The sequence below is a fragment of the Homo sapiens genome, chromosome 1 (assembly GCF_000001405.40).
Source record: "Homo sapiens chromosome 1, GRCh38.p14 Primary Assembly".
NCBI classification, from domain to species: domain Eukaryota; kingdom Metazoa; phylum Chordata; class Mammalia; order Primates; family Hominidae; genus Homo; species Homo sapiens.
The window spans coordinates 56705979-56718619 of record NC_000001.11 but is presented as its reverse complement, the minus strand read 5'-3'; the positions used below and the strand labels follow the sequence as shown (position 1 = coordinate 56718619).

General features: G+C 34.9%; 1 protein-coding gene across 2 annotated transcripts in view; it reads right to left on the bottom strand.

Annotated features, from left to right (window-relative positions):
• Positions 1–3284: 3284 nt before the first annotated feature.
• The window catches only part of PRKAA2 (protein kinase AMP-activated catalytic subunit alpha 2), a 70022-nt gene continuing 60665 nt past the window's right edge, over positions 3285–12641 (bottom strand). For both annotated transcript variants that reach the window (NM_006252.4, XM_017001693.2), the window contains exons 8-9: positions 12402–12528; positions 3285–11145 (exon numbers count right to left, since the gene is read on the bottom strand). In NM_006252.4, coding sequence (NP_006243.2) covers positions 10907–11145; positions 12402–12528 — 366 coding nt within the window. In that variant the 3' untranslated portion in view covers positions 3285–10906. The remainder of the gene's footprint in view (positions 11146–12401; positions 12529–12641) is intronic.

Here is a 12641-nt window from a genome sequence, read left to right as displayed (position 1 = left end):
ATGTTCCAAATGACATTTGTCAATAAAGGCCAAACTTATTCTAAAAGACAGGAATCAAAGATATTCAAAAAGTTCAGAGTTTAGAGAAGGAGATCTGTAGAGATTATTACAAATAACGTAATTAAACAAGATATGAATGGAACAGCTAAAGGATTAAAAAATATTTTACAGAGAAGGTAACACTGAAGCTTCGTCTTTAAATATGTTATGTTTATTTATTAGACAAGGCACAGAGATGATTGATGGAAGATCCATGCTCTGTCTGGTGATTGATTGATTATGAAGAAATTCAAAGTAAATGGAGTGTAGAATGTCTGTCTGGTGGGGAATGGCAAGAGCTGTTTGTTTGGCATGGGGTAAGGTGGGGCTACAATGTGACAGACTTCACTTGTACCTTTTCCTTTAGAGAGTAAGGAGTCATTTAAGGGTTAAGCAGGAAGAAAATGCCAGTTATTATTTGGGGGACAGGAAGAAAATGCCAAATATTTGGGGGATGGGAAGCAATCACCAATATGGATAATAGAGGAGAGAGTAATCGTTTTTGCAATATTCTAGGCAAAAGGGCATTACAGCTTAAGACAGCAGCAACAGAAATATATGGTATAGGAGCCCCATTAGAGGTATTACAGAGGTAAAACAGAATGTCTTGGTGACTAATTAGATGTAGCGATGAGAGAGGAGGAGAATTAGGGAATGGCTTTGAGACTTCCTTTCTGGGAGATGAAATTAAGGCTGGTACCAAAGATTGGAAATTTATTTCTGCTTAGACTAGAGACCAAACTCCTCTGTTTGGACCCCCTGAACTAAATCTACTACCCAGTGAGAGGCAATTGCAGCCCTCTCCTGCTCTCCAGGACAATAATTGTAGGCACTGTAGAAGACAAGGCTAAGTATGGTCTGTGGGCAAGAAGAGTATATGACTATGTTGAGCAGAAATCTTTCATGCAGTAATCCTGTCCAACAGAGAATCATATACCATACATCACTCTTGCCACTTCACCAAGCCATTAAGCCTTTTAAATCTTGGAGTGACAGTGGGACTAAATTTGAATTCAGATAGGTTTGTCCCCTGCACTTTCTGCCTCATTACATGGCCCCTTGTTCTAATTTGACTCAGCTCTTTGCATCTCAATTTCCTTATTATTAAAACAGGGCTAGGCTGGGCGCAGTGGCTCACGCCTGTAATCCCAGTACTTTGGGAGGCTGAGGTGGGTGGATCACTTGAGGTCAGGAGTTCGATACCACCCTGGCCGATATGATGAAACCCTGTCTCTACTAAAAATACAAAAATTATCTGGGTGTGCTGGTGCACGCCTGTAATTCCAGCTACTCAGGAGGCTGAGACAGGAGAATCGCTTGAACCTGGGAGACGGAGGTTGCAGTGAGTTGAAATCACGCCACTGCACTCCAGACTGGGTGACAGAGCGAGATTCCGTCTAAAAAAAAGATAAATAATAATTAAAAAAAAAAAAAACAGAGCTAATAACTCTCATCTCGTCTACTTCACAGGGTAGTTGTTATGCTATAATGTAATAATATAAAAGTAGTCTAAAATCCTGAATACACACTACTGTATAAGTGGTGTCATTTTTGTACCTGGCTTTTTCTGAAGTTGGAAGATGCTGAAAACAAAAATACATTTTTAAAATTCAAATTGTAAGACTTGAAAGAATGGCTGTTAAGTAATTTTTTTGCATAGACAGAAAAATGTTCAGGGTTAAAAGCCTATTAAATATGGTATACTAAAGTATAAACTATTTTGTCTAATATAAACTAGTACCTAACTATTATTTATTGATATGGTATAGGTTTTTAGAAAAAAATGATTGTTTTTCTATCCTTTCTATCCATACTTAATGCAGTTATGTTTCTATTTCACTAATATCAGTCACATTTCCTCCATTCTTGGAATCAAAGCATCAAAACTATATTTTTCACATTATTAATCTGCAAGGTTTCAAAATGTAAACACCATAACTAAGACTTCAGTAATATTCTAAGCAGATGTCATCTGTCTCCTAGAAACCCTAATTGAGCATAAAGCTTCAATGGAAAGACTAAGTTTACCTTTTATTTTCAATTTTGTATAAAAATATAGTAAAGATAATGGCATCATCAGATAAAAGGCAGCATACTAAAGCACTTTACTGTAACAGAGGCTTAACACTGGCCTACTCATAAACTCACTGACATATAGGCCAGGCCCTCCAGCAACCTTAAGATGTCCCAAGACCTCCCTTCCCGCTTCTGAGTTTCTCTGTGATATACTCACTCTTCTAAGATGTCATAGCAACCTTCTTGACCAGGCCCTCTCCTGCAAATCTTCAAAACTTTTAAAAGGTATATTCTAGGGGGAAGAAATGGAAGAGGAAAAATATGAACATACAATAACAAAACTAAGAAGTGGCTGCCTCTTATTATGGGTGAGATTTTTCTGATTCTTTAAATTTCCTTCACTTTTCAAATTTCCTACAGGAAGCATCTATTATCTATGCAATTTAGGAAATAAAAAATATTTTCACTAATAAAAACAAATCCATTCTTTTCCTTCAAGTTTAGAAAAAGCAAATTGAAATCTTTACCTGTATATCCTGATTTTAATATGCTTGCATTTTTCTTTTTCATGAGGGCTAAAGTATGCTTTTCAAAAAGCACATAGTCCAGGTGGGCCCAACTTAATCACATAAGCCCTTAAAATTTGAAAAGGAAGGCAGTAAAGTCAGTCTCAGCAAGTCAGAAACATGTAGTTGAAGAGAAGGAAGAAGAGATCCAACCCATAAGCCACTTGTTGCTGGTTTTGAAGATGAAGGGAGCCAAGGGCCAAGGGATGATGGCCTCTAGAAGCTTTAAATGATTCCTAGCCAACAGCCAAAAAGGCAACAGGGACCTCAATCCTACAGCACCATGGAATGAAATTCTGCCAACAACTCAATGCAACTGGAAACAGATTCTCCTCCACAGCCCAGCCCTATCAATGCTTTGGTTTTCAGCTTGTGTGACTTGAGGCAGAAAAACCAGCTAAGCCTGCTGGGTTTCTAACATATAGAACAATAAAATAATTTGTATTTTAAGTCGTTAAGTTTGTAGTAATTTGTTACAGCAACAGTAGAAAACCAATGCAATAACTCAAGTTAAAAACTATAATGTACAACTAAGATGACAAAAATGAAAAAAGATGGTGTGAAATCACCAATGAGTATAGGCAATCTTTTCCACTAACAACTTTCCTGTAACTATTAGTTGGTGTGCAGAATACCAGCATAATGATGGAGCAGAAACAAAAATAGCTTTCAAATGAATCAGAGACTTTTAATTTGATTTTGTGAAAAAAGCTTATAAGCAATCAGACAGGCTGCTTTTCTCCTTTGTGTTTGTTACCTATGAGTTTCATATGGTGCAAACATTAATTAGGAAGAATCTGTAACTATGAAATGCTATGTAATTCAGGAAGACATCTTTTCCATATGGTTAATGAAAGACAAATCCTTCCCATATCATTTAACACTCACAAAAAGTATATAACAAACAAAACTGAAATTTGAATCGGAGTTTATTTGAACAGAAAAGCACTGGAAGTCTGTTCATTTTTTTTTCTTGAAACCAATTATAAAAAGTGGTCCCAATTTCAACAATTAAAAAAAATTTTCAATAAATACGTAATGAAGTACTTCAATGGGTCAATGTATCAACCTATGGATTTTTTTTTCTTTTTCAAAGGTATGCTAAGAATGAATGAATGCAGGATGTTTTTGAAAAAAAGTAAATATTATATCCTATATTATGATTGTCATGACACAACCAAATGGCTGTTTTCAGTTTTATTTGTTGCATTCAAAATCCACTGTATATTTAAGCATACATGACAAAGAACACAACCATTCTTCCTAAAACAATAAAGATACTATCCTTAGAGTTCACAGTTCTACAACAACTTTACATTAAATGTTCAAAACATTGTACAACCACAGATATTTGTGAACAGTCTTGAGAGCTGTATTTTGGTACATTAAGGCAGCTTCAGCCAACATTTTAAGAGATTCTGAATATTTGTTACAACACAGGACAAGTTTGATATTTGAATACTTGAGGTCTCAAGAAATATTAAATGTCACCTAACAACACCACAATTTGTGAAACTGTGATCTTACCTAAAAATCAAGATACTCATCCTATCAGTATCAAAGATACTTATTTTTTTTAAAAAAAGGAATTTACATTGAATGTGGGGATATAAACCCTGTATTTAAACAAGGGCTTTCAAACAGTTGCTCACACACATCTGTGAGGTAGGTTATTATCCACATTTTGTAAATCAAAAAACTAAATGAGGTTACGTGACTTGCTGCTGCTTCAGCAGCCAAAGGAAGAAACTGATTCCAAGTTAGATTTTGTTCTTAGCTCTGAGTTGTTTCCTTGACAAACTTTTTAAAGGGTTAAAATATAAAAACTGCCATTCATCAAATTCATTTATAAAGCATGAGAAGGTAGCCAAATGTTATGTTTACCAAGGTGACTTATAAAGTCAATCAACATGAAAGAAATAGGAAAATACATTTAGTGAACAACTTCTGATAGTGATAGGGAGAGGTTTGACCAAGGGAACTCAATCAGGCAGATGCAAACAACATGATCATTTGTAGGAGGCAGATCTAAGGAGAACTGAGAGGGATTAGAAAAAAAGAAAATATAGTTTAAACAAGTTTTTACTATTACTCTTCTTATAATTTAAGGGAGAAGGCACAATTTAGTGTTTTTTTTTTTTTTTTTTTTTAGAACAGTGGATCTCTCTTCCACTTTAGGAAAATGTTATCTGTCTAGAAAAATGGCCATTTTTGGTAGCAAAACTTAAATGTGTAACTGTGAAAAATGCACGTTTAAATTAGTAGAAAAAAAAATAACAATGCAATTCTCCTTGGCTAGAATGTTTTTGTTCCTCCTTGAAATTTTAAATCAACACAACGTAGCAACCCTCCCTGCCCACCTCAGAAAAGGTCACACTGTATGCACTGTATGAACCTTGTCAAAATTCTACGTATTATTCAAAAAAGTTTTCATGCCAGGATATTCTCCAAATTCTTTTTTCATTTTTTTTTCTGGAGAGTGCTCTATTCTAGGATTTAATTACACTTCAAACGTAATTGAAATTTACCTACCCTGCTTGTCCAAACAATCAAGAGCCACTTCCATAAAATCTAAACTACTTTAGATATAAACCATTTTTACCAAAAGTCACATCATAGTCACAACTGCAAACTGGCATTGCTATGCAAGGCTGGCAGTAAACATTAACATTAGCTTGCAAAATTAATACAGGCCTACAGTCTGATAACTCTTCTAGACCCAGCCTGATTCTTATCAGGCTATGGATGAAGAAGTTTAATTAAAACTCAATCCAGTCTAGACTGTGTGACCTGTTCTTTGTGCTATTACTGTTCAGTGGCATCAAATGCATCATAATTATAGGTGGAAAGGCTAGTAATGATGCCAGCAACTTGTTTAAATGAAGTTTTTATAATTTTTAAAGCTCAAACATAAGTACATTTCAAAGTTTTATAAGGTTTGGGAGAAACTCTATCAAGCTAATAATTCAGTGTTTGTAAATTAGAAATATATTCTATGAAAATAGTTATATCATGTAATATACATACAAAATGAAAAATCAATCTGCATATGAAATTTGGATAAGACTAATTCAGATAATAGTCAAAAACTATAACAATTTAGACAGGGACTGGGGCTAGTTTTCTTTTTCCTTTTTTTGTTTTTTTTTGAGACAGTCTTGTGCTGTCACCCAGGCTGGCATGCAGTGGCATGATCTTGGCTTATTGCAATCTCTGCCTCCCAGGTTCAAGAGATTCCCGTGCCTCAGCCTCCCGAGTAGCTGGGATTACAAGCAGCCTGTCACCACACCGGATAATTTTGGTATTTTTAGTAGAGACGAGGTTTCACCATGTTGGCCAGACTGGTCTCGAACTCCTGAACTCGGGTGATCCACCCACTTTGGCCTCCCAAAGTGCTGGGATTATAGGCATGAGCCACTACACCCAGCCTAGTTTTCCTTTTTCAAAAATGATTGTGCTATAAGAATCACATAAAATTATAAGAAGAATCATGTTTTAAAGTTTCTTCAGCATTTTTAAGCACCCTCAATAACTCAGAAATACTTATAAAAACCAATATGCTAATCATAAATACTTCAGATAATTACATCTCGTTAGTACAATCAACTGCTTAAAATAAACTAAGAACTATTTATTTAAGACTACTTTATGTCACTCTAAGACTTGAAAGCAATACATCTGTGTTTATTTTTACTACTCAACCACTCTGATGTTTTATTAATTCAGACTGTTCTTCCCCAGAGGAAAGGTGGTTTCCTATAAAGAGCAATTGATCACTGCTGGATACTTGTATGGTGTTAAAGCTTTATGAAGAGCTTTCTGGTCCTGCTTCCTCATCTGGAAATGGCAAAAATGCTTTCTCTGGTTACCTCTCAAAGTTATCGTAATAGTAAGTAAACAATATGAAGGGTCTCTAGATCGAAAAATCACTATAAAAAATATATGGAACACTTTCATCACTCCAAATTTGTAATGCTTTGCTTCATGCCAAATGGATGTGATGTTTCACCGTGTTTGGTTTTCTGGATGATTTTTGCCATTTGCATTCCTCCAGCAGCTGTATTTAGAAAAATATTCAAGTATATACCTCTGACATGCCTCACCAAATCAAAACAGAAACATTCACACTCATATAAAAACTCTAAATATATAAAAAGTGAACACTAACACAAATCATATGGAAAAGCAGAAAAGAACTTTAAAGCTCAAAGGTACCTTAGAAGTGTTAAAATCTACCTTTCTCATTTTAGGAGTTATAAAAATGAGGCCAAACATAGGATGTGACTTACCAACAGATTGCACATATCCCTCGTCCAGAGTTTTTAATAGAGTCTTTGAGAACTACTATTAAAATAAATTACATTCCCTATTTAAAAAGCCACAGGGTGACACAGGAGAACCAAGTAAATAAATGCAAGATTGAAAAGGTTTGGGTCTTAAAAACAAATAAACAAAAACAGACAAAATTGTGAACATGTCTAGCATTTAGACACTCAGCTTTTACAACCATTAATAGGATGTAAATTAGTACCCGGTGAATAGACAAAGTGGTGTCTGTGGCAGGCATGTTCCAGGTTTTTACATTTTATAAATCCAAAGTGAGGTGCCTACATTAACTCAGTACACTGCACATTATTCAATGCTACAGATAAATCCAAACAGATCAAAAATCTACAATAGTTGCTTATGATTTTTTCTAAACTATGTCTCATTTAACAGTAAAAATCAATTTGTATTCCCTGAGTACAAACTGTCTAGGGAATAAGAAAAAGCAAACTCAGAATTATAAAACTGTCCTGAAAAACCCATTTGCAGAAAATGGAGAATTGTTCATGCTACATATAGCCAATACCCTGACATAGAAATATAATTATTTCTGATTAATTTAGCCTTCTGGATTCTCTTTATAGATAGCTAGTATAAAGGAATGTAAACACTAGAGATTACAAAAGTGTCTCTTAACAGGTTAATCAAAACAAAAACCCAACTTGTAAATGGTTTGCCTACTTCCCTCCCTGCATATTCTATTTGAGAAGGTAGCTGTTCCTACACTGAAACATAAGGAATTAGATCTTCATATGGTATCCCAAAGAAAAGTATTTAGAAAATGTTCACTGACTACACATTTTAAAAGTAAGAATCAGTGACACTGATTCATTACCCACTGAGCCATAAGCATGAGTCATTAGTCTCTTAGACTTTTTTTTAACAAGTAATCTTGTTTCAGGTTTTTCAGTCACCCATGCATAAGAATAATGTTGCACTCAAATAATAATACAAGATGATTAAGAAAACCAAGGTGTCATGAAACAAGTTGCAGACACAGAAAATTCTATTTAATCCAGCATTCACTCACGATGAACATGTCTGCAAGTTAAAACAAAGTAATTCTAATTTTCAATCAGATTCTCCCAACAACCAGTAAGAGAAATGGAAGTGTTAATTATTAACTACCCTAATTATGGCATTCTGGGACAGTATTTTCCTAAAAAATGTATTTCCCAAATTTGCTTTTCATGGGCTATTAAGTTTTTTAAAATGAAAAATTAATTTGGGCAAAGTTCAACAAAGTTATGTGGCTTTCTTTTTTTCACAGAAAGACCTGTCAAAGTCTTTAATGCTGACATCCACTGTCATCTTCGAGGGGAAGAGTAGCATGCAACATTTTTCAAACTTAGTCCATGCAATCATTTTTTCTGTGGAGCATCTCACAGGATATACTTTGGGAAATGCAGTTCTAGAACTACATGGAGTCCATTTCCATGATATAACTAAGGCCTTATCTATAACCTCATAATAGAAGCTCTTCTCCCGTGTCTTCACTGGAGGAAATTATTCTTAGCCCACATCTACCTATCACATTCAGAGTTTACAACACTGAAATGTGGAAATTTGGGGCTAACAACTGATTCTTTCCCTCTATCTGCCCATGAGCAACAAAAAGCCTGCTGTAACAATGTTCCAGCTCTAATTGTGCTGGACTGCATCTCCTGAAATCTTCTAAAAACCAACCACCTAGATTCACAAAATAGCTGTTTTAAAAACATACACATAAAAGAACCCAAACTGTGACCATTAGTTCTCCTAAAATTCAGTAGGTAAATATCAAGCTACAGCTGTTCATAAATACTGGCAAGAATTAGAAAACAGTAAATAATTAACTCTCAAAAAACATGGCAATAATCCATATAAGGTAATTTTGATATGAACAATTTTTTAATATCTGACCTATTAGACTAATGGAGCTAAAACATCACTGGATTCCTTCTGTTTCTCTGCCTTCAAAATTTTTGTGGATTTTGTCATTGGGGTTAAGTAATCTGATTAGTTCCTTATTTCTAAGGTAATTCCATTCATAATCAGGCAAATATTATGAGGTGGCCCTGTTTTTTCCCAAAAGAGGTATGGACCCATTTAGAGAACCCAAAACTATGCCATATCTATAATGGACCAGGCTAACACAGCAGGACTGCTTATCACTATACAAATAATCATGTAAAAATTACCTTTTGGTGCCACAAGATGGCAGTCTTTCAATAATTAAACCTTAAACTATCTCAAATTGCAACCCGCCCTCCTTCCCAAATTGGTGAACTATTCATTTATCTTGATATTAAGAAGTTGGACTTATAAGTTATTTAACATCAGTTTTTAAAAGATCTGCAAAGCCATATGATGTGACACAACGCAAACTCCTGATTCAAAGAATATTTAAAGATAGACACACTTGTTTTCCACTAACACAGGAGAAACTTAGTCTAACATTCTCATTTGCTTCTTGGCAGAACATACATTACTTTTGGCAAAGAGAAGCCTGTCAAGGTAATGTCATTTTTTTGTTTTCAAGAGCTTAATTTTTTTAGGGTAATCCAGGTAAATAAGTGTTAATTACAACATAAAAATAACAAATGAATAAATACAAATTAGATAAATTACACAGAATTTAAAATTAAATACTTTTACTAAAACAAAATATAATCAATAAACTATTATCTACCCTGCTATAGTTTGTGTTTTTTTAATCTTAAAGAAAACCTGCACAAAGCAAAACAAACAAACAAAAAAACTGGTTTTTGCTTAAAAGCACTGGTGTGTGAATATATATATTTATTTATTTAAGATAAAAATTTTTTCTTGATGTTCAAAGCTTCCCTGCCCTATCAGGTTCAACAGTAAAGGTCATAGCCAGCCCTTAGGGCCAGAACAGTGTTTTCAAACTTGGACTAGAAAAGATTCAAAGCTATATCAATCAACCACTCAGGATCAAACAATGAACAAAGACAATAGTGACTAGGTGAGGTGAGGTGAAGGGAGTGGCTTCCAATGAAGAATTAGCATTATGAGCTGCACCAGGACCCTAACACCTAACACAGAAAATAAAGATCAAAGATAAGGATTCTCATTTAAGGGACTGTTGATACTTTGCTTTGTTTCATTTAACTATTTTATCACTGTTGGTGAAATGCAAAAATAAATAGAGGCAAAAAGAATTTGAGAAAGGTAGATTTTGAAGACATTTTTTAAATGACGTAAGTTTATGTAAAAGACAAAAGTTGTTGCAATTCCAGATGTTCCAATATTAATTTGAAACTTGAAGGCTCTTAAGATAAATATATTATTCAGGGAAATCTCAAGATAAAAATCCTGAGTTAGTTACAGCTGTTTTTAAGAAACCTGAAAATTGTGGTTACCTGTTACATGACCACAGTCCTTCTGTTGAATACACTAGGCAGTATTTGTACAAATACTGTTAGAAAAACTTGGCTTCTGAAATCTTGGAGGCAGGTTTTTAAGATTTCAACATTTAAATAATATCTTACTCGTGGTTCTTTTACTTTTTAATCTTCTTTTGTTAAAATAAATTGGGGGCATAAACACAGCATAAAGCCTACTGAAATTTAGGAAGTAAACTAGATTTACCTACACCAAACAGCAAAGCAAGGAGGTGTTGCCAAACCACCCTTACATTGAGATGGTTCGCCAGTGTGGTGTGTTAATCGTCTGTAGTGAACTCATTATTGTAATTAAAAATCTTCATTGATATTAACCTATTAAAGATATTGCCTATGTGAATTTATCATAGGCACAATAGAATTACAGATTTCTACAAGTAAATAAGATGTCAGATATTTTGTTTTCAGTAATTTCAATAGCATTGTGTGCCCCTGGAAATAATTCATGTTTCTCAATTAGTATTGCAGTGGATATTATCCAAAAGTAAGATAAAAATTTAAAGAATATAACTGATTTTCATAGTGCAATAACAGAAAGAAACTAGAGACAGATCAACGGGCTAAAGTAGTAATCAGACTGGCACACATTTCAAAAAAATCCATGGTGTGACTGCCCAGGCGAGGTGAAACTGAAGACAATGTGCTTCCGGTCAAAGAGCCAGTGAGAGAGCCAGAAAGTGAATGGCTCTCTGCAGTTGTGGAATCAAAACTTGATCTTGGTCTGTGTAAGCCAGCAGCAGAACAGGAACGCTGAGGTGTTGAGGAACCAGATCTCTGCTCCACTACTTCATCTGAAATGGACCAAAGAAGAGCAATTTATATGGAAAGTATATATGCCCAAGCCCTTCCTATGAATTTATGATATTCAGAATATTAAGTAAACACATCTGAGCAAGGGCAACTTAATAATGAATGTCATGTTTCTGTGTTGTAGAAACACAGTCTTCTTCCTTCCAACAATCATAACAAACATCGCTACCAATCACAAGACTTGCACACAGTCAAAATGTGGCCCCTAAGTCCTGCTCAAATTGGAGTAATCGGCATTGATATTGGAATCAAACTGATATCTCTGCATGTGAAGAAAGCATATCCTTGACAACTTATTTTCTTCTAGCATATCAACAAAAAAAATCACTAAGGTAAAAACAAAAGTCACCATCATATATTGCCTTGGGGAGGTGGAGGGCAAAGTGAGAGAAATCTTGTTAAAACTGCATTTTCTACGATTCCCAGGACCAATCTCCAGAAATTCTGATTTAATAGGTCTGGAGTGGTTCCCAGGGATCTGCGTTTTAATAACAACAACATGTAATTTCGATGAAACAGGTCTGGGATCCATATAAACACTACCATACATAGTTGATGGTAGTTCAAGAGTAAAATTTAAATGCTTCGTTTAAAACAACTTCCCTAACTCTAAACTCCGTTCCATTCTTGTTCCATCCAGCACCTGACCCTTAGTTTATTCTGGTTTTATCCCACTTGGGCCTCTGAAATGAATAATCAGATTTGGTTTACCCAAGTTTAATTCTTGGCACACACTAAGTTCTTGGACATGACAATTTTCCCTGACGCCTTTGGCTCCTTGATTGCCATGGGTACCTAAATCCAACCCAAATCCCAATGGAGACCTATTTGGTCGCCCTGGCCACCCAGGATGAGGAAAGGTGATGAAGGAGAAAGTTTAGACACTATAATACTAACTAATAAAATATGAATGGAGAAATATGACAAAGAATCTGACAAGTCAGTTAATTTTGAAAAGTAAAACCTGCTTCCCTGTTGTTCCTTACTTGTGCTCCACGGCCAACACTTCAAATGATTCTTTTACGCCACGGAGATACTTCTTGTGGAAAGATGCCAGGTAAGAGGTATTCAACATGTCTTTCATCCTTTTCACTTCACTTACATTTTGGTTAAGTCTAGATTGCTTAAAAACCAGTGCAGGACCTACCCACCGGATGTCTTCGAGATGATTTTAACATCTGGTCAACTAGTGCCAAGTTTTATCTTCTCAGAGCTCATGCATGCATAGCTTCCTTACCATCAATGCTTTTAAAGTCCAAAAGATAGCTCCTGTTATCAACCAGGTAAAGTTGTAAGCTCATTTTCACGTAATTGCCAGTCACTGGATTTTTTCTTCTTACACGAAGATGGTATGCATTCACTACCTAAAGTGAAAAATCAATAAAAATAATAAACTACAAAATATCTACCTTTTTATGCAAAAAAAGTCAAAACAAATAATTAATAGGGGTGAGGTAGGAAAGGAATACGAATAATT